Source organism: Homo sapiens, chromosome 12 (assembly GCF_000001405.40).
Source record: "Homo sapiens chromosome 12, GRCh38.p14 Primary Assembly".
NCBI lineage: Eukaryota > Metazoa > Chordata > Mammalia > Primates > Hominidae > Homo > Homo sapiens.
The window spans coordinates 88,365,982-88,392,733 of NC_000012.12; the positions used below are offsets into that span (position 1 = coordinate 88,365,982).

The 26,752-nt window shown below is 39.1% G+C and overlaps 1 long non-coding RNA gene across 2 annotated transcripts in view, besides 2 other annotated features; it reads right to left on the reverse strand.

Annotated features, from left to right (window-relative positions):
• Window positions 1-13,327: 13,327 nt before the first annotated feature.
• LOC124902978 (uncharacterized) overlaps window positions 13,328-26,752 on the reverse strand; it is a 39,971-nt gene continuing 26,546 nt past the window's right edge. The window contains exons 1-2 of one of the 2 annotated variants that reach the window (XR_007063397.1): window positions 19,105-20,039; window positions 13,328-16,593 (exon numbers count right to left, since the gene is read on the reverse strand). This is a non-coding gene — a long non-coding RNA (uncharacterized LOC124902978). Of the gene's footprint in view, window positions 16,594-19,104; window positions 20,040-26,752 lie in introns of those variants that run through there. The other variant, XR_007063396.1, reaches the window with a different exon arrangement.
• Window positions 17,706-17,765: an enhancer, noted in NCBI's record as "active region_6701". NCBI's record gives its function as "activates an Ori minimal core promoter by ATAC-STARR-seq in GM12878 lymphoblastoid cells {active_cell/tissue: GM12878}" and the evidence as "EXISTENCE:reporter gene assay evidence [ECO:0000049][PMID:35858748]".
• Window positions 23,031-23,130: an enhancer, noted in NCBI's record as "active region_6702". NCBI's record gives its function as "activates an Ori minimal core promoter by ATAC-STARR-seq in GM12878 lymphoblastoid cells {active_cell/tissue: GM12878}" and the evidence as "EXISTENCE:reporter gene assay evidence [ECO:0000049][PMID:35858748]".

Sequence of the window (26,752 nt, forward strand, 5' to 3'; positions counted from 1 at the left end):
TCCAGCCATGAACAAATAAATGGCTATGAAAATGTTTTTTGGTATACTGCATTGTCTATTCTGAATGAGTACTTGATAGTTCATAATGTTAATTAGGAGAAACAAGATGAAAAGAGGGTTCCACATTCAATCACTATTTACCAACACTCCATTTTGTGCAAGGCTAGGGGTTCTACTACACGCTAAAGGATATAAAGGTAAATAAAGCTCAGCTTCTGCTTAGAGAGAACTTATAATCTTGCAGAGTAACAACCCAGGCTTACTATGGAGGGAAATAGCTGGGATTTGGAGGCAATTAGAAAAAGAATTTAACACGTCTAGCTTGCACAATGCCTGGCTCAAAGTAGGTGCCTGAAAAATGCTGCTGCCGTTGATGAAGATGTTATACAGGAAAGTGCCAGGAAAATTATTTCTAACAGTGAGGAATACGGGGCATTTATTCTTTATGCAGAACATTGAAGGCTGAATAAGATTTCAATAAGTAAAGATTTAGGACATGATTATTCCCAGATGATCTAACCTGATTAAATGAAATAGCAGGATTAGAAAGTTCAAGACAAGGTTTGACCAGGAGGAAGCTCTGAAAGAAGCACAGTTCTCAGGGAAAGTGAAAAGCTCCTTAGGAAGCAGTTGCAACAGGCTAGGTGAGAGACAAGGAGGACCTGACCCAGAACTTTGGCACATTCACCTTTTGTGCTTAGATGTCTGACTATCCCTTTATTTAAATCTAGGTATGAAGTCTGAGGTTGTGCTTTTCTAGGACATGACCCCAGCAGTATGTCTTTGACATTTACTTCATTTTAAAAATAAAAGTGGCATTTTTCAAATGAAAATCCATTGTCTCTTTCTCTAGTCACAGTGTTCCTTCAAATAGAGGGTCTAATTGTCTACAAATTGAGATGTCTTAATTTTGTCAGTTTAGCTAAAGCTTCTCTTGTTTTAAAAGATAAGCCAATTCAAGAGAAAGATCTACCAAGATGATCCACCCAAATGTACTACTTTTAAAAGAACTTTGTTTTCACTCATACATTCTGATTTGTTCTTTTTTTGAACTTTCACAGCTTGAGGATGTTTACAACACATACAAGTCCTTCATATTTCTAGTCTTGTGTTAGGTATAAGAGAAGGTCATGATCCAGATAACTTATTAGTTGAGATGATGCTCCATTTTGTATTTTCATGAGTTCAAATCCTTTTGTAAAACTCTAAGTTTTGTTTTATTTATCTTTTACTGCATGCCTTTCTTCAGATTTCCATGAAAGAGTACTTAGAAGCTTTAACTAATCTATGATATTTAATCCTGTTGGTAATACATGTGTGCTATGCTGAACACACATTGTTCTCCAATTTACTGTGTTTCTTTGTCTTTTCTCTGTGCATAATTGGATGTTAATATGACAAATGTAGTAGGAGGTTTTCTACCCTATGAGATTTCCTGGCTGCAAATGTTTGGAAACATCTAAAATTTTCTGCCTAATACTTCCTCAAAATTACATGTAGTGCTCTGTCTGGAAGTACTCTTGAGAAACATGGAAAGGTTTTTATTGACATTAAACAGTTGAAGATAGTAATTAACATAATAGTCTTCATGTTCAGCAATAATACTTTAACTTTCTAAATAAACTCTTTTAACCTAAGGAATTCTCTTCCAATATCTTATTTTCTCATGCTCTAAAAGTAAAGTCTTTCCTGTAGCTTAATAGCCTTACAGAGCCAGAAAACAAAGCCACTGCTGTTAATCTGAAAAGGAAAATTTAACATCTTATTTATGCATGATAAATAATTAATTTGAGTTGGCTATCATGGTAAATTATCATTTACTCCCCAGTGTGTCAACTCCTTAAATGCACTAATTTCTAGAAAATCTTTTGGAATTTCCTAAGTGACATTGACATCCATGGAAAAGGAAGTATTTGTGCTTAAATAAGCTTTCTTGTCAAGGTCAAAACAGATTATACTCTTCTGCTTCATTCTAATTTTTTGGTTTAACTTATCAGAATTATATTAAAATGCGTTGTAAATTGTCTTCTCTTCCCTGGAAATTTAGAAAGGTTTGTGTCAGGCCTCTGAGCCCAAGCTAAGCCATCATATCCCCTGTGACCTGCATGTACACATCCAGATGGCTGGTTCCTGCCTTAACTGATGACATTCCACCACAAAAGAAGTGAAAATGGCCTGTTCCTGCCTTAACTGATGACATTATCTTGTGAAATTCCTTCTCCTGGCTCATCCTGGCTCTAAAGCTCCCCTACTGAGCACCTTGTAACCTCCACTCCTGCCCACCAGAGAACAACCCCCCTTTTTCGTCTCCTGCCCACCAGAGAACAACTCCCCTTTTTCGTTTACCTACCCAAATCCTATAAAACGGCCCCACCCCTATCTCCCTTTGCTGACTCCCTTTTCAGACTCAGCCGGCCTGCACCCAGGTGAAATAAACAGCCCTGTTGCTCACACAAAGCCTGCTTGGTGGTCTCTTCACACGGATGTGCATGAAATTTGGTGCCACGACTTGGATTGGGGGACCTCCCTTGGGAGATCAATCCCCTGTCCTGCTCTTTGCTCCGTGAGAAAGATCCACCTATGAACTTCCACCCTCCATTCCTCCTTCTTCTCCCTTAGCCTGTGTTCTTAAGAACTTAAAACCTCTTCAACTCTCTCCTGACCTAAAATCTAAGCGTCTTATTTTCTTCTGCAACACTGCTTGGCCCCAATACAAACTTGACAATGGCTCTAAATGGCCAGAAAACAGCACTTTCGATTTCTCCATCCTACAAGACCTAAATAATTTTTGTCAAAAAATGGGCAAATGGTCTGAGGTGCCTTACATCCAGGCATTTTTCCCACTTCATTCCCTCCCTAGTCTCTGTTCCCAATGCGATTCCTCCCAAATCCTCCTTCTTTCCCTCCCGCCTGTCCCCTCTGTCCCAACCCCAAGCATCGCTGAGTCTTTCCAGTCTTCCTTTTCTACAGACCCATCTGACCTCTCCCCTTCTCCCCAAGCTGCTCATTGCCAGGCCGAGCTAAGTCCCAATTCTCCCTCAGCTTCCGCTCCTCCACCCTATAATCCTTCTATCACTTCCCCTCCTCACACCCGGTCCAGCTTACAGTTTAGTTCCGTGACTAGCTCTTCCCCACCTGCCCAACAATTTCCTCTTAGAGAGGTGGCTAGAGCTGAAGGCATAGTCAGGGTACATGTACCTTTTTCTCTATCAGACCTCTCTCAGATCAGTCAGCGTTTAGGCCCTTTCTCATCAGACCCCACTAAATATATACAGGAATTCCAATATCTAACTCTGTCCTACAATTTAACCTGGAGTGACTTAAATGTTATCCTGATTTCTACCCTCTCCCCAGATGAACAGGAAAGAGTTTTTTCTCTAGCCCAATCTCATGCTGATAACCGCTGGCTTCAAGAACCAGACCTCCAGGAAGGCATTAGAGCAGTTCGCTGAGAGGATCCCCAATGGAACTATCAGGCAGATTCCACAGGTATAGCTAGGCAAGATTACATGATTTCCTGCCTAGCTGAAGGGCTTAAAAGGGCAGCTTACAAAGCTGTTAATTATGACAAGCTTAAAGAAACTACCCAAGGTAAAGACGAAAACCCAGCCCAGTTCATGGCCCGCTTAGCAGCAACCCTTAGACGCTTTACCGCCCTAGACCCAGAAGGGCCAGAAGGCGGTCTTATTCTTAATATGCATTTTATCACCCAATCCACTCCTGACATTGGGAAAAAACTTCAAAAGTTAGAATCTCGCCCTCAAACCCCACAACAGGAATTAACCTCGCCTTCAAGGTGTACAATAATGGAGAGGAGGTAGCCAGACAGCAATGCATTTCTGAGTTACAGCTGCTTGCCTCCGCTGTAAGACAGCCCACAACCACGTCTCCAGCATACAAGAACTTCAGAACATCCAAGTCACAGCTCCCAGGGGCTCCTTCAAAACATCCTCGTGGGCCTTGCTTCAAATGCCAAAAGCATAGCCACTAGGCCAAGGAGTGCCTGCAGCCTGGGATTCCTCCTAGGATGTGCCCTGTCTGTGCGGGCCCCCACTGGAGGTCAGACTGTCTGACTCACATCGCCGCCACTCCTAAAGCCCCTGGAGCCCAAACCCAACGTTCCTTGGCTGACTCCTTCCCAGATCTCCTTGGCTTTGTGGCTGAAGACTGACGCTGCCCGATCGCCTTGGAAGCCCCCTGGACCATCACGGACACCGAGCTTCAGGTAACTCTTACAGTGGAGGGTAAGTCTGTCCCCTGTTTAATTGATATGGGGGCTACCCACTCCACATTACCTTCTTTTCAAGGGCCTGTTTCCCTTGCCCCCATAACTTTTGTGGGTATTGACGGCCAAGCTTCAAAACACCTTAAAGCTCCCCTACTTTGGTGCCAACTTGGACAACCTTCTTTTAAGCACTCTTTTTTAGTTATCCCCACCTGCCCAGTTCCTTTATTAGGCCGAGACATTTTAACCAAATTATCTGCTTCCCTGACTATTCCTGGACTACAGCCACATCTCATTGCCACTCTTCTTCCCAACCCAAAGCTTCCTTTGCGTCTTCCTCTTGTATCCCCCTACCTTGACCCACAAGTATGGGACATCTTTACTCCCTCCCTGGCAACCGATCACATGCCCATTACCATCCCATTAAAACCTAATCACCCTTACCCTGCTCAACGCCAGTATCCCATCCCACAGCACGCTTTAAAGGGATTAAAGCCTGTTATCACTCGCCTGTTACAGCATGGGCTTCTAAAACCTATAAACTCTCCTTACAATTCCCCCATTTCACCTGTCCAAAAACCTCACAAGTCTTACAGATTAGTTGAGGATCTGTGCCTTATCAACCAAATTGTTTTGCTTATCTACCCTGTGGTGCCCAACCCATACACTCTTTTGTCCTCAATACATTCCTCCACAACTCACTATTCCATTCTTGATCTTAAAGATGCTTTTTTCACTATTCTCCTGTACCCCTCATCCCAGCCTCTCTTTGCTTTCACTTGGACTGACCCTGACACCCATCAGTCCCAGCAGCTTACCTGGGCTGTGCTGCCGCAGGGTTTCAGGGACAGCTCTCATTACTTCAGCCAAGCTCTTTCTCATGATTTACTTTCTTTCCACCCCTCCGCTTCTCACCTTATTCAATATATTGATGACCTTCTTCTTTGTAGCCCCTCCTTTGAATCTTCTCAACAAGACACCCTTCTGCTCCTTCAGCATTTATTCTCCAAAGGATATTGGGTGTCCCCCTCCAAAGCTCAAATTTCTTCTCCATCCGTAATCTACCTCAGCATAATTCTTCATAAAAATGCACATGCTCTCCCTGCCAATCGTGTCCGACTGATCTCTCAAACCCCAACACCTTCTACAAAACAACAACTCCTTTCCTTCCTAGGCATGGTTGGATACTTTCGATTTTGGATGCCTGGTTTCGCCATCTTAACAAAACCATTATATAAACTCACAAAAGGAAACCTAGCTGACCCCATAGATCCTAAATCCTTTCTCCATTCCTCTTTCCGTTCCTTGAAGACAGCTTTAGAGACTGAAGCCACCCTAGCTCTCCCTGACTCATCCCAACCCTTTTCATTACCCACAGCTGGGCTGGAAGTGCAGGGCTGTGCAGTCAGAATTGTTACACAAGGGCCGGGACCACGCCCTGTAGCCTTTTGTTCCAAACAACTTGACCTTACTGTTTTGCCTAGCCCTCAAGTCTGCATGCAGCAGCCACCACTGCCCTAATACTTTTAGAGACCCTTAAAATCACAAACTATGCTCAACTCACTCTTCTACAGTTCTCATAACTTACAAAATGTATTTTCTTCCTCACACCTGACACATATACTTTCTGTTCCCGTGCTCCTTCAGCTATACTCACTCTTTGTTAAGTCTCCCACCATTACCATTGTTCCTGGCACAGACTTCAATCCGCCTTCCGCATTATTCTGGATACCACACCTGATCCTCATGACTGTATCTCTCTGATCCACCTGACAGTTTGTATATGGTTTGTTGACATTCCAAACACACTCCTTTTTCTCCTCCTTATATACCTCCTTTTAAGTGATCTCATCAACACTTGTGACTGTAAATATCACATTTATGTCAAGACTCTCAGATTTAGAATCTCCAGCTAGAATCTTGTTTGTCCTCTAGGCCAGTATGTCTTAATGCCATCCTGAAATCTGAACATAAAGTCTCAAAAAGGTCTCAAACTTAACATTTCCCAAGCCAAACCCAGGCCAAACCCCTTTTTTTCCACCCCTGAATACTTCAACTTCTCTCCCAGCCTAACTTTCTCAGTGAATGCCTCTGTCATGGACCTCATTGCAGTGAATGGCAGTATCATTGGCCAAATAAAAATATGGAAATCATTTTTCTCCTAACCAACTCACCCAACCCTGGTGCTAGGTCAATTTTATCTCCAGAGCATATGTTTCCATCTCCCTGATCACTACCATAGTCCAAGTCTTTATCACCTCTTGATTATACCACTACAGGAGTGTCCAAATTTGCCCTCTGAGAAGGCCAACTCACTTGCCCTCTTAAACTTCTTCCTTTTCATTCTTCTCACAGCAACCAGAATGATCATTTTAAACCATTTCTCTAATCACATTACTTCTCTGCTTAAAATTCTTTAAAATCTTCTTCTTGTACAGAGAATAAAGACCAAAATGTTTAGCATGACTTGTAAGTCCCTGCAAAATTCAGACTTTGTGTAATTTTCACCTACATCCCATGCCACTGTGCCCCTTGTTCACTGTTCTCTAGTTACATTGATCTCTGTCTGTTAAGGTCTTCGGCGTGCCAAGCTCCTTCCTGCCACAGCTCTTGCCTCTACTGGCACATCTTTCTCCCTCACTCTACATCACTGGTGCCATTGCATCCTTAGATATCCATGGGTGCCACCTCCTATTCTAAAGCATGTCCTCCTCCTTAATCTCTCCCATGATCTCCTCTTCTTTTCTTTCAAAGCACTAATATAAGCTATTTACTTGTTACTTATATTTTTTCTATTAACCTTAAGCACAATGAAAGTAGGAGACATGGCTGGTTTGTTTATTACTATCCCCTAACAATGAGGATACATCTTGAAAAATGTGTCTTTAGGTGATTTCATCATTGTGTGACATCATAGAATGAACAGTATTTACACAAACCTAGATGATATAGCCTATTACACAGCTAGGGTTTGTGGTATAGCCTATTGCTTCTAGGCCATAAACCTGTACAGCATATTACTGTACTTCATACTGTAGGCAAGCGTAACACATTGGTAAGTATTTGTTACTGTGTGTGTGTATACATATACATACATATATATATATATACACATACATATATATATACACATATATATACACATACATATATATATGAGACAAAAGGGGGCCAAACTCATCCTTTTATAAGGAATTCACCTTTGTGATTAAAAAACTCATATATATATATATATATATACACACACACACAAATATATATGTACACACACGAAGACATATATGTACACACACAAATATGTGGTATTATAATCTTATAGAACCACCGTCACATATGTGGTCCATTGTTGACTGAAACATTGTTTTGTGGTGCATGATTGTATATAGCCAGCACCATATAGCATGCCTAATACATAGTAAGTACTCAATAAGTAATTTTGAATGAGTAAACAGATGAATATGTAGACAAATAAATCAAGTAAAATCTTACTTCGTGATATCAAGTATGCAAGGAATATCACATTTCCATGTATTGAGTAAAATCTGTTGCTGAGATCTCAATTCATTCTGTAGAGTGAGGAAATTCAAACTCATATTTTTTGGAGGAGGACTCTCCTCTCTAGAGGCACATCAGGACTGTGGAGGCTTATGCAGTGCCCATAAAATAAGGAAAAGGCTCTCATCTTCGTCTCTTAATTTAATTAACCCATTTATGGCTAGTGTTCCATTATTGCAATGCTAAGCTTGTGAGAGCTATTTATAGCCTACTGCTCAAGGTCATGGCCAAGGTCTGATTTTTTACACACACACAAAAATTGCAACCTCTCATATAAATGGGTAAAGAGGTTTTTACTGTCATGCTGCCTAGCCCCTTAAAGAGAGGCTGCTCTGCTTCTCTCAGGTGATGCTTGAGCAAATAAATCTTTGCTAATTGAGGCCATGAGCCTCAATGTCTAAGATCCACCCTTTTCTTGGATTCACAGCCACTTCTTTCTAAAGCTTGCCATTTCCCAGGACACTGCCAAGGGCCAGGGCTCAGATCTCTCTCTTTGTCCTTGTTGTCATATTCTGAGCTGTAAGCTTTGGCTATAAGTGTACATTTGAGTTCAGCTGATGCAAAGTATAACATGTAACAATATCTAGATGAGATTTGTTAATTTATGCTTTTGCCAAAGATAACAAATTATTGTAAATGATGAAGCCAACTTTGCGGAATTAGAATTATTGACATTTTACTATACTGTTAATGGAAACATAAATGTTTACAGACTACTATAATTAACAAGTAACAGAGGTCTGATATAACATCTAATCCCACTCCACTAAGGGATTTTGTGAAAACTCTTGTTTGGATAAAGAAATTCTCCCTCCGTATCTCTCTCTCTAAATTCTACAGACTCTTCTCTGTGTCTTTCTTAGTCTGTTTTGTGCTGATATAACAGAATATCACAGACTGGATAATTTAAAATGAGCATAAATTTATTCACTCATAGTTCTGGAGGCTGGGAAGCCCAAGAGCAGGGGGCCAGTGTCTGGTGAGGGTCTTCTTGCTACATCATCTCATGGAAGAATAGCAAAGAGAGGGAAAAAATGAGAGACAAAAGAGGGCCAAACTCATCCTTTTATCAGGAATTCACTCCTGTGATTAAAAAAACTCACTCCCATAATAATGGCATTAATTTATTCATGAGACAGAGCCCTCATAGCCTAATCACCTTTTAAAGTCCTCACCTCTCAACACTGCCACATGGGGGAATCAAGTTTCCAACACGTGAACTTTGGAAGACACAGTCAAACCAGAGCATACTTCCCCGGCCCCTGAAATTTATGTCCTTCTCACATGCAAAATACACTCAATTCATTCCAATAGCTCCCCAAATCTTAACTCATTCCAGCATCAGCTCAACAGTTCAAAATCTAAAATCTCATCTAAATCAGATATGAGACTCAAGACACAATTCATCTTGAGGCAAATGTCCCTCAAGCTGTAAACCTGTGAAATCAAAACAAGTTATCTACATCTAAAATACAGTGACCCCCACCCCCTTATTCTTGGAGGATACTTTCCAAGACCTCCAGTTGATGCCTATACATATTATGTTTTTCCTATAAATACATATATACGATAAAGTTTAATTTATAAATCAGACAGTGAGAGATTAACAATTATAACAATAAAATAGACTATAACAATATACTGTAATAAAAGTTATGTCAATAGGGTGTCTCTCTCTATCTCTCTCAAGATCTTATTACATTGTCCTCACCTATTTTTGTACCATGAGTAACTGAAACTGCATGAAGCATAACCAGGGATTAGGGGAGACTCTATTATGCAATGGTGGGACAGGCATAAAATAGACATTCTCATTCCAAAAGAAATAAATAAACAAGAAAAAAGAGGTACCTGATCCCAGTGAGTCTAAAATCCAACAGGATGAACAACATTAAATCTTGTCTCAGGAATAATCTTCCTTGACTCCATGTACCACTTTCTGGACACATTGTTGTAGGAATTGGGTCCTAAAGACCTTGGGAAACCCTGTCTCTGTGGTCTTGCTGGGTGTAGCAACAGTTCTTATGAGTTGCAGTTGAGTGCCTGCAGCTGTCTCCGACTGGTTTTGCATGCTGATAGCACTATAGTTTTTGAGTATCGTGGGTGGCCCCACTCGCATGGCTCCACTAGGAATTGCCCTGGTGGGCACTCTCTGTAGTGGCTACAACTTTTGCATCAAGTTTCTGCCTGGGGACCCAGTTGTTTACAACATCCTTTGAAATCTAGGTGGAGAGACCCACGCTCACCCAGCTTCTGCATTCTTCATACCTGCAGAATTAGCACCACGTGGACATCACTGGTTTACAGCTTAAGCCTTCCAGAAAAGCAGAACAAGCCACACCTGGGGCCATTTGAGTCACAGCTGAGGTAGTCAAGGAACTTGTGCCAGAATATGTGGAGCAGAGTCCTGAGGTGGCTCTGGGCAGTGAGCTCATGGTGGGCAACCAGGATATAAGCCCTGAAGCATCTTGCTCTCCTAGAGCTCTGTGCCTGTGATAGGAGGGACAGCCTTGAAGTTCTCTAAAATGCCTTTGGAATCTTCCTCCCATTATCTTAATAAATAGCACCTGGCTTTCTTCTGTCCATGCTAATCCTTTTAATCACAGGATTGCTTGGCTGCACCCTTGTATGTGTTCTTTTTCTCTACATGGCCAGGCTGAGAATTTTCCAGATTTTTACATTTTGCTTTCCTTTTTTTTTTTGAGATGGAGTCTTGCTCTGTCACCCAGGCTGGAGTGCAGTGGTGTGATCTCAGCTCACTGCAAGCTCTGCCTCCCAGGTTCACGCCATTCTCCTGCCTCAGCCTCCTGAGTAGCTGGGACTACAGGTGCCTTGCTTTCCTTTTAATTATTAATTATGTGTTTAAATAATTTCTCTCCACTATCATCTTACTGAATGCAGCTAAAATAAGCCACATAGCTCCTTCAATATTTTGCTTAGAAATTTCTTCTGCCAGATATTCTAGTTCATTGCTCTTAAATTCTGTCTTCCATAAAGCCCTAGGACACAATTCAGCCAAGTCCTTTCTAACTTTGTAATAAGGATGTCCTTGATTCCAGTGTCCGATAAAATATTCCTCAATCCTGTCTGAGACTTCATTGGAATGACATTTACTGTCCATATTTCTAATAGCATTCTGACCATGACCATTTAAATAATTTCTAAGAAGTTCTATACTTCCCCTACAATTCTCTTCTTCAGACTCTTCACTAGGATTGTCCTTAAAGCTCTGTTCACAGCAATACAGGCTTTTCCCAGACTGCTCCTCCAAACTCTTCTAGCCTCTGCTTATTATACAGTTCCAAAGCCGTGTCTACATTTTCAGGTATTTGTTTAGCAATACCCTACTTCTCTGGTATGAATTTTCTGTCTTACTCTGTTTCATACTGCTATACTAAATACCACAGTTCGGGTAATTTATAATAAACATAAATTTATTGGCTAACAATTGTATAGACTTGGAAGTCCAAAATTAGGGGCTGGCAGCTGGTGAGGACCTTCTTGCTGCATCCTCCCATGACAGAAAGTGGAAAGGGCAAAGAGAGGGCAACAGAGAGAGAGAGAGACAAAAAAAGGCCAAACTTTTTTTTTTTTTTTAATAAGGAATCCACTCCTACAATAATGAACCCACTCCCACAATATCAGCATACATTCATGCAAAGCCGTCATGGCCTAAACACCTCTCAAAACGGCTGCATTGAGGATCAAGTTTCTGACATGTGAACTTTGGGGGACACATTCAAACCATAGAAATGCCTCAACACATTTTGTATTTAAATTGTCATTTCTTTATATCAAGACCCTTAAGAGGCGTTACAAATTTTAAAAAAGAGGGCCTATCAATTGGTTATTTCATTTTTTCTAAGAAAATACATTTTAATTTTATAATGCTTGAAAAATACCAAAAGATATAAAGAAGAAATTAACAATCACCCATAATCCTACCCTCAGCAATAACCAATGCCATCAAATCTTTATTATGACAGCTTAATCTCACCTGCTGTGTGAAATGCTTTCAGTCAATTACCCATTAACTAGGAATGATCTTGTCATCTGAATATGTAGAATTTTGCTACTTTATGACCCTTTCTGAGCACCTTCTGATCACTGCCTCTAATTTCTACTTGACCTTAGGTAGTGGACTGGATTCTATCTCAAGTCCTTTTGGAGAGGAGACCAGCTTTTAGTTTAATTTTCACCAATAAAAGGACTTCCTATTGGAGAATATCAAATATGTCTTCATACTTCATCATCAATATTATTAAATACTGCTTCTGACTATAATAGTTACATGACTATTTAACCATTTTATCTCTACTGTCATGTAGGCTGTCACTTTAAATATAGAATTATAGTCATAATAAAGCAATTCTGCACATCAACATGTATACTAAGTGGCTCAAAGTCCTGAGTATGTAACTCTAAGTGGCTCTGATGTTGCCATCTACTTCAATTGCCACAGTCACAGAGCTCAAGAAGTAATTTACTTATTCTCTGAAAGAATGATTATAGTAGTTGTCAGATGTATTTGTGAAATATTTGAAACTTTTCATCTTCTGGGTTCAGGATAGGAGGGCACTTTCTCCCCATTTTTGAACCTAGGAACAGGCATGTGACTTGTTTTGGCCAGTGAAATGTAAACCGACATACGCCACTTTCAGGAAGCAATTTTAAAACTTAATGCATGAATTACCACATTGTTTTCTATGATTATAGAGCATGTATTCAGATGGTGGCAGCTCCATCAGTCTGTGTTGCAGAATTAGAGAAACAAACAGAGCCTCCAAATGACCTGCACTGGACATGTAGTGTGAGTGAGAAACACATATTTGTTGTTTAAGCGACTGAAATTGGGATTATTTTTACTACTATGTTGTAACGAAGACTTTCCTGATTAAACCACCCTGCCATTAAAAGTCACATGTGCACAAATGAGAGCATATGTCAAATCCAGGAGAAAGCTATCCCTAAGGTTATCTCACTTTATCTCATGAGATCATCTGAAAGTTTCATGTCTGCATGCCAAAATTTAGCTTGCTAACATTTAACTTGACATAGCTCCCTAGACATAGGAAAAACTAAAATACTCTAAAACCTGATCTGTCATAGTGACACTGTTCCTCACAGGAATTTTATGAAGGGACAGGAAAGGAAGGGGTAGAATAGAGCTGTAATTCCCTCCTGCACATCCAGCAGAGTTTATGCTTAATAAAAAAGCACAAAATATATATTCAATGACACAAAGTACCAACCATCAAAGGATGGAAATATGCTAGTACTGTTACATCAAAGTTTGGTTGTCATGCTTTATCTGAAAGGACTAAATCAAATTATAAATTGGAAGGAAATGATAAAAGGTGTTTTTTTAAATGTAAGAAATCTTAGGAAAACAAAAATACATGTCAATTTTTCAAACACTAGGACTGCAGAAACTCTATTATTGTGATTTTCTGGATATTCAAGATTGCCTTGTAGGGCCTGATGTGGAATTTAAAACTATATTACACATTCCACCTAGATAAACCATTAGGAAAAAATTCTCATGACTTGTAAATCATTGAAGGCTTTTATTTTTCCCATTAAATAGTCTTGTTGACATATTAAAATCTATAAGATACTCAGATTTTACCAATCATCTTCAAAATATAAAATGGTATGCTGGCAATACATTCAAGATTACCTGAATATTTTGGTAAAATATGACAGTATTTCTTTACAGCAGTGCAAGAATGGACTAATATAAATTGAATCTTGGTGCACCAAATACATTTGTAACCTTCAGATTACTTTACAGCCTTGGTTGAAAGTGCATATTATGGAAGCATATACTTGGAAGTTATTTTACAACTATGCATTAAAATGAATTTTCAATATCATTTAACATTTTATGGTATGATTTTAATGGCTGTTCTCCTAAATACCACCACTATTCAAATTTACTTTTGAAGACAAATGTAGTGTTTTTAACTTTTTATCAGCCTTTCAGATGCAGAAACTTTAATTCTGTTCTGTGTGGCTCTTGCTTGGAGATAGAGTCTATAAAATATTTTCATAGGTTGGCAATCATTAAATACATATTTATTCATTGGGTTGCTGTGGTTGTATTTTTGCAAAATTTCTACTGAGTTTTTTTTTTTTTTTTTTTTGAGACGGAGTCTCGCTCTGTCGCCCAGGCCGGACTGCAGTGGCGCTATCTCGGCTCACTGCAAGCTCCGCCTCCCGGGTTCACGCCATTCTCCTGCCTCAGCCTCCCGAGTAGCTGGGACTACAGGCGTCCGCCACTACGCCTGGCTAATTTTTTTGTATTTTTAGTAGAGACGGGGTTTCACCGTGTTAGCCAGGATGGTCTCGATCTCCTGACCTCGTGATCCGCCCGCCTCGGCCTCCCAAAGTGCTGGGACTACAGGTGTGAGCCACTGCGCCCGGCCTATTGAGTTTTTTTTAAGGACTTTAAATGGTGCCTATGTTTTTATGTCATTTTCTTTCAGTTTCCACTTCATTAAAGTTTCTTAAGTACTTCACTTAGCATGGTCTGCAAGTTATCCTTCAAAAAACAAAAGTTACAATAACCCTGCTTCTAAGACACTGATCCAATCTTTCAGTTCTGTAACTTTAGCCTTTTATGTCCTTGTATATCTTTTGTAACAAAATTTAACACACCAAGATTTCCACAAGATCTAGTAGTATTTGGCAGATAATAATGCATGTGTATGTTTGAATATCTTCTGGAGCCAGGTTTCCTAAGATTTCTTTCAATAATGGCATATAGTCTGTCTTTAGTGGACTAAACAAACTGCAACATTTGAGAGTGTAACTATTTATAAGCAAATATATTACACGATTGACATTTTACAATCCAACATTTCATACTAGCTAAGCAGCAACGAAACTGCAATGCTTACCCAGCAAAGGATCATAGCACTGCATATATTTAGTAATCTTCAAGGAAGCTGCAATCAGATGTTATTACAATTCCAATAGAAACAATTACCTTGAAATGTCATTACAAATTTTTATACAAATTACTCATAATTCTGAGGACTTTTAATGTGTTTTTTCTATGCTGTTCTGTATAAGAAAACTACTTAGAATATATTTATAGATGTATATACAACAGTTACAAAAGTCAAAAATTGGCCAGTTTGTAGATTGTGCCTAGGTTAACACTTTTCAAACAAACAAACAAAAAATCTAACTTTTTTTTGTTGACAGGGTCTTGCTTTATTACCCAAGCTGGAGTATGGTGGTGCAAACACAGCTCACTGCAGCCTTGACCTCCCAGGCTCAGGTGATCCTCCTACCTCGGCCTCCAGAGTAGCTGGGACCACAGGCGCATGCCACCATGCCTAATTAACTTTTTTATTTTTTGTAGAGATGTGGTCTCACTGTGTTGCTCAGACTGCTCTCAAACTTCTGGCCTCAGGTAATCCTCCTGCTTCAGCCCCCCAAAATGCTGGGATTACAGACATAAGCCACCATGCCTGAGCAAACACATAAATTATTCTTCATTAGGAATTTGTTAAACCTGTCAAAGTGATAAAGTGGGTATGTTCATTTATTCTTTGGGCTAGTTTTCTTTCCTTGACCTTTTAATAAAGTCAACTTAAGAAATAAACTGTCAGTAAGGCTAGGTTTCTTATTCCCCTTGTTACCAAAATGCCAGGGGGTTTGGTCTAGATCCTGTTCCTTGCTGTACAGAAAGCCAGTCACTGAGACAATGAGTATTGCCATGAAAGAAAGGCTTTAATCAGGTGATATCAGCTGAGGAGATGAGAGATAAGTCTCAAGTCCTCTCCAATCAATTAAAATTGGGAGTTTATATAAAAGGGAAGGAATGGAGCTACATGTGGGAAAACGGGAATAACGGAGGGGGAAGGAAGTAATCATGATGAATAAGGGGTCTGTTGTCTCATTGTCTGGATGTGGTGACCTGGTGAGTTTCAGTTCCTTGATACTCAGAGCCCTGAGTTTTTGTTTTCTGAGGAAGGAACTCAGGCAATGTACATTTCAATCTTTAAGACCATGAGGGTCAATATCTATGTTTATTCCAAAAGATCATAAACATCAATTCTACGGGACAATTGGGGTGGTTTCAGTCCCCTCTTTCCACTTATCAGTTCCTCAATCCTGGGGAAGCTGGTCATCAATCTTTCTGGCTGCTTTATGCTGAAGAGGAGGCATCCTGGAATAATGATGAGAAATGAAAATTTCACACCTATAATTGTCAGTACTCATGAGTACCTGGCTGCCATCCAGCTTGTTGGAGCACCATGGTCTTTGTACCTTTATTTGGTTTCAGAAGAACATTTTAAGCCACATTGAGATTGGATGATTAATAAGATAGATAGACCAAATTTTAAAATACCAAAGAATATGGAACAGATCTCCTGGGGAATCCAAGAGAACAATCCTAAGCCTATGAAAAAGTCTTCCTAATTCATTATATCTTGCATGCAAAGAACCAGGGTTTGGGAGAGAAGAATAACCTGAAAAGTGCATGTTCCCTTTCTGAAGTCTTATCTAGGGCCTTGACTGGACTTTGAATGTTAACTTAAGCCGGTCCGAGGGTTCACAAGAAAATCACTGTTTTCCTTGGAGGGATCCCAAAGGGACTGGTTTTCTCTAAGTATGAAGAATCCATGGCTTAACACCAGCTAACTTGACAGATTAGTATGAATGGTCAGCAGCACCTGAAAAGGGCTAACCCATTGTGGTTGCAGCTGGTCTTCAGACTGGTGGGATTTCTAGGTCTTCAGCATGATTTTGCCCTCGGCTTCAAAGAGTGGAGGGACACATCTGTAGGAAACGGGTGCCTGTTGGAAGCAAATTCAGAGAGACTATTAATATATTTCCCAATCATTTTACATATGATTTAGTTTCTGTTTCAGGGGAGGAAAAAATCTTCAGGGGTCAGAGAAATGGTCTTCCATACAACATTTCAAAGGAGCTAAGACCCAACCTACTTCTGGAGGCTATTCATATCGTCGGCAGGGCAGGGGGCAAGAATTTTTCCCAGGTATGATTTATCTCTTGGAAACTGGGGTCCCCTTAGCCACAAGTAGGTCTGTTCAGTTGATAGGGTGCTTAGAACTTTATTTTTAGGTTAGCCCCTTTTGGTCAAGATATGCCAGAGGCAGCAATGATGTCCAGTCTCTTATTTTGCTCCATTTCTTTGCTGGGTTGGTGTGGCTACCTACTTGGGGTCTATTCTGTCCCTTGCTGGGACCCCTATAGCCAGAAGACTTAGAGTCAAAAGACTTATAGCCAATTCAATGTTCCAGGCAAGACAGGAAAGGAGGTGGTCAGGCACTCATTACCCCTTAAAATGCTTTAAAAAACATGAGAGCAAAAAACCAAAAGCCAAAAAGAAAGGTTAATACTGCTGTCATCATAAAGCCAGTTCCCCATGGCTTGCATATGAAGCATATCAACTGCTTCATCTGGGGTGCTCCACTTGGCATTGATAGGTGGAACTGGACAGTTTCTTTTCTCAGAGTAAACAGATCTTGCAGTGCCTTTCCATCCAGTCCACCAGGCTGGCTGTTCTCTTGAGAATAACGTCCTCTGTGTCTGGATTATATACACCCATCTGCAATTGTTCAATTGTGAGCTGTGGGTCCTGCACAAATATACTCCTTCATTCTGTAGCATTTAAAACCAAAGACATTGCTCTTAAGTTAGTAACTTTCACAATACATTTTAGTAAAGGTTCATCAGAATGTTGATGATAGCAATCTACAAAATGGAACAATTCCTTCGTGTTATACCTTCTGGTTTCAGTAGTTACCTGGTTTTGCCCTTCCCCTACACTAGCTATCTTGTTAGAAACCACATGTCTCAGAGTTACTTTCTGGCATAATTTCCTCTTTTGTGGGTAATTTTGAGGCTAGTGATCTGAGCTCAGACAGGCCCATATCTGAGCTTGGTCCAGCCTCAAGGCCATCCCAACACTCTCTTACTTTTGTTTTAGCTATCACAGATAACAATAAACAAGGGAATAATATTTTACTTTTTCCTTATTAGTTTGAGTTTTCTTATGCATCCATGCATCTCTAAATCCTACTGGTAACTTTTACCTTTAACAACTGAATGCAGAACATTTGCAGATCCATACCATGGGTGACCATATGGCCACCCATGAGTCAAAGGTTAATATAATACTTTTCTTCTGAAACATAATTGTTGTCTCTCCAGTCCCTCACTTTTACCAAAGACAAATCATAGTAGAACCAATTTATTTGCAAAAATATGTTTTAGGACTGGGCGAGGTGGCTCACACCTGTAATCCTAGCACTTTGGGAGGCTAAGGCGGGCAGATCACTTGAGGTCAGGCGTTCGAGACCAGCCTGGCCAACATGGTGAAACCCCGTCTCTACTAAAAATACAAAAATTAGTCAGGTCCAGTGGCATGCACCTGTAATCCTAGCTACTCAGGAGGCTGAGGCAGGAGAATTGCTTGAAACCATGAGGCAGAGGTTGCAGTGAGCCAAGATGGTGCCACTGTACTCCGGCCTGGCTGACAGAGTAAGACTCTGTCTCAAAAAATATATATATGTTTTAGTCTTATTGTATTTGTCCTGATTATTTGCATAAAGTTTAGCAAGAATTATTGTTTACGTAGGTTCTTTTCAATCAACTTTGCAGGAACTTTTTCATAAGGAATCTTAGAATTGACTTTTAAAGGCTTCTTGAGCCCAGACCAGCCAAGGATTTATCTGTGTCTGAAAATACCTGTATGAATTCCTTTTTTCTCTAAGTCCCAAAGTAACTTGAGATTCCTGGGCCTGTCAGAAAGTGACATCCTTTACATACCACAGGTCAGGAACCCTGTGAGGAACTACATAGACAAGGTACAAGGTCAGTCTTTCCAAGGGACGTTTATTACTTTATATAGTCAAATTTGGTTTCTCAAAACAGTCTGCCTATATGTGAAAATATGTCATTTCAGTAAAAGCCTTGGTAAAAAATAACCAGTGTCTCCAATTTTGTTCTGTTATTAAAAAAAGATTTTCATTTAACTTATGCAAATAACTATGTTGCCATAAATTAGGAATATTCACAAATAGTTTCTGAATTCTGTAGAAATCAGGTAGAGAGATAAATATGCTTCAAATTTTGTTTACAAGAGTATACTCTACCCAATTGTTAAAGGCTATAAATAGCTTGAAAGAAAAAAGTTTTCTTGACTCTGAAAAACAAAACAAATAATCAGCAATGTTTCCTATAAAAAAGGCATAAAAATTTCAGTTCCATATTAGTTCAGTCCATGTAATTAACTCCTATTTTACTTAATATTGGATCAGCAATTCTCCTGAATACATCACCTCTTCAATGAGAGTCCTGGAAGTTTTCTCTCTAGTCCAATGGCGCAATCTTCAGAAGTTGTCAGAAACCTGCATTCAAGAGTCATTTTTATGAACTCCCCTAAAGAAGCAAGTTTTGGACTTCAGCTGATTATAAACTGCTTTTTAAGAGGAATCAGAGTAAAACAATAATTTGGAAGACAGAAGTCTTAGGACAGCCATGGTTAAAGATATAATTGACAAGAAAATTTAATTATTTCTGTGGCATACAACAGTTTAATATAACACTCATAATTACTATTGATGACATATACTATGATATATCAGAATTTTAGGAGTCTCATAGAATTTCAGAATACATACTAACAAACATATGGAAATTTATATATTTATATAAATATAACCCAAAGAAAATTAAGCAGTTTTGGACCCAAGGGACCCCAGCGTCCAAAAAGTTAGTCTGAGATTTAAAAGAAGACGGAATTCAGAATTTTGAATTTTGATATTGGAAAGTTTGGCAAATGTCAAAACTTTTATCTAAGTGTTTCAAGTTTTATCTAAGTGTTTCAAACACTTAATGTCATAAAATCGCATTACAGGTCACCATAAAATAGTAATCCACTTAGCCAGAATGATAACGCAAAGATTTCAAAAAAACAAAAACCATTACTCTTTGATAGAGAGTAGACTGAGTTTCCCCCCGAGAAAAAACCTAATAAAGACAGCATAAGGCCAATTAAATCTGTTTCTCTCTCTGCTCTTTTATTTTTTGGAAGTTTACTCAAAAGTTAATCGAAAATATTTTATTATCTCTTACTAATATTACACAAAAACATTGTTCATAAGAGAAAAAATTTACCTCTGTATTGTGTATTAATAATGCTAAAGCTAATTGTAATGAGGGCTTGTAAATAAATCTAATTTTAATCAATTTGACCATAAGATAAGATCTCCATAAACCTCTTATAACCTTTTACAATTTTCTTTCCTTTTTTTTCTTTTTTTTTTTTTTTTTTGAGACTGAGTTTTGCTGTGTCACTCATGTTGGAGTGCAGTTGCGGGATTTCAGCTCACTGCAGCCTCTGCCTCCCAGGTTCAAGCGATTTTCCTGCCTCAGCCTCCCGAGTAGCTGGGATTACAGGTGCACACCACCATTCTCAGCTATTTTTTTTTGTATTTGTAGTAGAATTGGGGTTTCATTTATTAAAAAAAACTGTACTAATTTCATCCCTCAAAATTGGCCCTTATAATCTCATGCACCTACCACTTCTATGATAGTCCCTGGGTCTACAGGGATTGGATTGTTTTAATTTATGGCCCTGTGTCTCATGAAAGCAGTTCATTTTGATGTTCCCTTTCTCCATATTTGAAGACAAGGCTTTAACTGATGTCAATTTCAAGATTTAGCGGGTGTCAGTGCCCTTTTCAGACCCAGGATTCAAAGCTCTATAACATATTAATAACAGCACAAGGACTTTAAAAGCAATAAAGAAAGTTACATGAATATAAAAAAAACCTTAATTCTTTTAAATCTCAGTTTTCCTAAGCATTCAAAAACCTAATAACAATGACATAGACATTCTCTCCATAAAATGTAATATCTGTTGGTTAGGCCAGCAGCCAGAAGGGAAAGAAGGACCTGCTACAGTGTGATTGCATCTCCTCATGGGAAGTCCATTTGGATAACCTGGAGGTCAAATCTGATGAAAGGGTACTTGAATTAATGAAACACAGGAAGAATGCGTTCAGGGCCATGAGTGAACATAATATCAATATTATAGAGGAAACAAGAAACTAGAAAAATAGCACCTTAAGCAGGGAAATCAAGTTATGCTAGAGGAAAACACTGCTTTTATAGACTTTTCAGATAAACATTTTAACATCAGGCCACAATAGCAGTTAGAACTTGAGGAAAAAAATACAAGAGCTGATGAAAAAGTTGGAGGAGAGAGTTACTTCAGGCCTTTTCAAGAGGAGCAAAAAAAGCTGAAAGCAGCAAGACACAATCAAGTGGCACTTCTGAGATACAAATATGAGAAGTTTTCAAAAAGAAAGATTATAGAATCAAAATAGAAGTCTCTTTTATTTACATCAAATCAATATTTTAAGAAAATAATGTTTTAACATAGAGAACCAATCTTTAGAAAACTATTTTAAATAATTCCCCTTTAATTATAGCCAACTTAATCACATATGAAATTCCTTTCATAAATTCTCTTTTCATGAACCATATCATGATTTATACAGATCATCTATGACATGCTTGCACTTTCTGATTTGACACACTTTATATGTAGAATTCTTATTTTTAGTAAACTTAAATTTTAGTAACTTAAATTTTAGTGAAACTGCAGGAACCAAGAAATCCTGAACTATCAGGTTTACTAGCATTTTATAAATAAAATCACTCCACAATTTTTATAAATGTTTTCCCATATTATAACCCTTTCTTATTTAGAAATGACCCAGACATCCAACAAACATCTATTATTGAATCAAAATAACTTTAAGATTTTAAATTCCACAAAAAGTTTACCTATAAGCATTTATCCCATTTACATGTATTCAGTTCTTTCATCTTCAACAGTTTATATGAATTACTTCTGAAAATTAGATATTAGACAAAACTACTCATCATTTCAAGTTATCTCCTCATTAATCATTTTTTATAGTCTGTGACTATCAGGTGTTCACACCTGATATTCAGGTGTAAGAACGTTAACACATGGGTATTTTTCTGATAACTCAGAAGATTCAGCTGTTGTTTTCATTGAACCAACAATATTAAATTAGTCTTACTTGTCAAAAAAATCACACAAAGATAATTCTGTTTTTGTTTGTGTTTATAATTTTATAAAAACAGTGGCACCTTAAAATATCTAGGAGAGACAAATATAAAATCTGGACAAAAATGTATGCTGACAATTCTGAAGACATTTTTATTCTTATCTTACCAATAACTTTAAAGCCAGCTTATTTAACAAAAATGTACTTAAGAGACATGAACTGGAAAAATGCTTGAACTTATTTACTTAATTTATGATTGCTCTTTTATTTACAAGCCAATTTGGTACTCTGTAAAAACAACACATAACATCCAGACATGTATACTCACATAAAAACAAAGACCCAATAGCTTTCATCTTAGAAGTATAGCCATGAGAGAGCAATATAATCTCACAGGTTTATAAACATGTTCACATGGCTGAATTTGGTTTGCCCTAATAGGTAATTCAATAGAGGCTGTGAACATAAGTTTAGGGTAAAGCAGTTTCCAAAGCAGTTTGATTTTTAAAGGCCAAACCTCCCCAACCTCCAAAGAACACTGAGACTAATCAGCACCATAGAACAAGATACTAATCAATCAGGCTCAATCCTGCTTAGAACAGCAGCATAAAAGCCTAGATATACAGACCTCCATCCCACTTTCCCATTCAACAGCAAAATTAATCCAATTGTAAGCTCTGCAATTCAAAGACCTTGTGCGATGAGATCAGGCATGTTCAGAGTAGTATGGCTGAAGACTTTCCCTTACTCCATCAACCCTCAACTACATTCTGGCCAACTCTGAAGAATGCACCCCAATGGGCTGCTCTCTGGGATCAAACCCCAACCTCCCATGATTATGATGACACACACACACACAAACTGTCACAAAAACACAATCCAATCTGTAGCAATGAACAAACCACAAGAGTGTCAAAACTGAAATAGTCAAGGTGCTTCCTCTTTCCATTGGTCGGGCTTGTTCAACCTGCAAATGGTAACTCCTTTGGAATTTCCCAGACTGAGAGAAGGCAATCCTTTGTCTGGTACCCACAAAAGACACCTATCCAAATATAGATGTCAAATTTCAATAGCTGTTCTTCCTAGGCAATCAGGAGAGTGGTTGGGGCTGGTAGTGGTGGATCCGAAGAGAGAGAAACCAAACCCACTTCTGACCAAAAATGGGCAGGCAGCTGCTTAGGAGAACTTCTGAAACTCTCCCAGCACATAGCAGCTGAGCCATGAGCAATGCATTCACAGTCAAGGAACAACAAAATTTTTTATCAAAATGCCAGGGGATCAGTGTAGGTCACATTGCTTGCTGTGCACAAAGCCAATGACTGAGACAATGAGTATTGCCAGGAAAGAAAAGCTGTAATTGGGTGATGTCAGCTGAGGAGATGGGAGGTAAATCTCAAAGGCTCCTCAACCCAACTAAATTCGGGGGTTTATATAACAGAGAAGGAATGTAGCTACATGTGGGGAAACAGGAATTAGAGAGGGGTAAGGAAGCAATCATGATGAATACAGGGTTTGATGTCTCATCTGGATGTGGTGATCTGATAAGTTTTAGTTCCTTGATACAGTTTCAGAGGCCTGAGTTTCAATTTCCTGAGGAAGAAACTTGGACAATGTAAGTTTCAGGTTTTAAGACCAGGAGAATCCATTTCTATGTTTATTGAAAAAGACCGTAAACTTCATTCTATGGGACAATTGGGCCAATTTTACTTTCTCACACAAGAGAATATTTGAATACAAAATGGTCTAGTTTCTGTTGTGTAGTACTATTAAGCATTGACTTTCAAATTCAAAGCTGAACATTATTATATTCCTAATGGGAGTTCTTTGCAAGAGTAAAAAAATTGGGGATATAGCTTGACTTCTGTCACAAACAAGTTTTATAAATTGGAGAATCTCACCTAGTCTATCTGAGGCTGTTTGAACATCTGCAGAAGAAATGGGCTTAATTAAGGGTTGTGAAGTTTGCTCCAGCTTTGCATTCTGTAATACATAATAAAGCTTCCTTTGTTACAGTTACTCATAGGGGTTCTTAGCATTCTTAAACATAAGATTTGTTATATGTGAAGATAAGTTGGTTTCTTAGAGTTACCAGACAGTTTTAATCCTAAAATCCATGCTCCCGAATCTGAGCATGGTAAAACATTATATATTACAATTATTGAATATAATCATGCAACTGATACTTTCTTCACCTGTAAGCCAATCATTAGCCTGTTTGCACTTAAATCTGTTCCTTTTCTCCTCCTGCTTTGCTGAGTGTTGCAGAGGCTGACCATAGTGATCTGTGTTTTCTAGGCTTCCCTGCTGTGGCAGCCACAGAGGGTAAGATGCCCTAAATGCCCATACCCCCTTCAAGAGTGACTCTGCCACAGGAAGGTCAGGACACCAATAGTACCCAGCTGTGGTGCCTTCAGGATCTGCCTTAGCTTTGGAGCTGAGGTCCCTTGCTACTTAGGATGCCCCCAACCTCAATGACTGAGCATGGAGGAATACAAGACCCCTCAATTGTAATCTATGTTCCAGAGTAAACTATTGGGCTGATCAAGTCTTTCTCAGAACTCTATCACAGTTGGGGCTCTCACTACCCAGTCCTTTGATCTGCCCCCATTCCTTTCATAAGCCTCATTTCAGTATCAGCTCTCAAGTCCTTCCCTACATACTCTTTTTCCTTCTCCACTTTATCTTTCATAGGCATTACCTCTATTAAACCTCTTGTACATCTAAATTCATCTTGGCATCTACTTCCCAGAGGACATGAATTATACATCTGTCAGTTGCTTCTGACTACCTTCAGCCAATGAGATATACTGTATGGGGCTTGCAGGGAGGAACCAAGAGTGACACTGGGGAACAATTTCTCTCTCTGCTACAGGAGGCATCCCAGTTGTGGCTGTACGTTCACCATGATGCCAGCTGCTGCCCCATAACCACTCTCTCTGTGAATCTCTGTTTCTGTCAAACTAATTAGCTTCTAGTATCCAATAATATTACCTTCTCCCAATGTATTCATGGGTATGAGTGGCTTCTTGCTATTGTTATCTTGTTTACCTCACTAGTTTCACTGCCCTCAATCTGGAAGATAAACATCTGGCAAAATAGGGTTCTTAAAAAGCACTGTTTTACAGAATACTTCGGCATCCTCCTGTTGCCGACCTTGGATCTGAGTCACTTGAAGGAAAGTCTGTTCTCTCTCTGTTCTCTAGCTTTCTAGTAATTTTCTTTCAAATTGTCTCTTGGAATTGGCTTTTCTAAGCCCAGCATTCTTGCTCTTCTGATAACAAATTCCCTCCCTCTTTTCTTTTACAAGACGTTCCTTCTCTCCCTAGTAGTGACCCAAATTGAAGGTATGGCATGAAACCTAACCTTGACCAACCAGAATCCTTTTCCAGGAACTGCTAGGGATGCAGAGGAGAGAGCAATCACCATTTGCCTTTGCCATCCTGTATGTACCGGGGTCTATTTTGTAAAAAGAGCCTGTGAATGGGGCCAACACCAATGGAGGCTGACCTAAAAAATGCCTGATAACATTTTTTATACTAAACTCCTGGATAAATTTGGAAGAGAACAATATTAATACAAAGTACAACCCAACTCATAAAACTCTCAAGTTGTAAAAGTCTTTTCTGACTGATTGAAAGGAAGTTTTGAGTAGAGTGGGAGGAAGGGATGAGTAGGGGGTTGTTGGAGATAAAGTTAATTTGGGTCACAGATATAAAGAATGAGAACACATCTTAGTGTCTGGATGGTTGCTGAAGATGGAGGGAACTTGGAAAACTGAAACCCAGCATATGTTGATTTATCTCCACATTTTCATTTCTGAGTTTCTGGCTCTTTCTGACACTTATGATGTCTGTGGCATCTATTCTTTTTATTACATTGTTACAAGTCTTTCCTAACCCTTTGAAGTCAGAACGCTTTGCTTTCACTACCACTTCATGCTGACATCTGTGACTAAGCTCCCTGGCTGCTTGGGGATTTTTTTTAACCAGATGTCATAAATTACAGAAATGGAGGTTGCCAAAGATTAAACTGATTATCAAACAAATAATGAAACACATTATTTGTGTTAGGAAATAAAATATATCTTAAATGTCTATGAAAGAATTGTTGAAAATGACATCTAAAAATCATCCCTGTTTTTCTTAATTTTTGAATGTGTTGCCTTAGGAGATGTTTTCTTTAACAACAGAGTCATATGGTTTAATGACATTGAACAATTTTTTTTTTTTTTTTTTTTTTTGAGACAGAGTCTCGCTCTGTCACCCAGGCTGGAGTGCAGTGGCGCTATCTCGGCTCACTGCAAGCTCTGCCTCCCGGGTTCACGCCATTCTCCTGCCTCAGCCTCCCGAGTAGCTGGGACTACAGAAGCCTGTCACCATGCCCGGCTAATTTTTTGTATTTTTAGTAGAGACATGTTAGCCAGGATGGTCTTGATCTCCTGACCTCGTGATCCACCCGCCTTGGCCTCCCAGAGTGCTGGGATTACAGGCGTGAGCCACCACGCCCGGCCGTCATTGAACAATTTACTCCATACCATGAACAGATAAATTTCTGACAGAATCTCAGCATCAACTGGAAATTCAGATCAGTAATTTTGTTTTCCAGGTTGCATAAACTTAAGTTAGGCTAGAAACATTCTTGTTCAGGTGCTCTCAGTATTCAGTACTGGGCTGGTCACCTATTATGCTTTAATTTTCTGTATGAATCCCTCATAAACTGTCATCTTTGTCCTAGACATAGTCAGAAAAGTAACATTTGTGCCACCAATAGAGTTCTATTTGAATCAACTAGGACTTTTAAAAGTTTCAGCCACTATTCTGCCCGGAGAATATCAGCTGTTATGTCTTCCCATCCTAGAACCCCTGCAAACATTCCCTAGAGC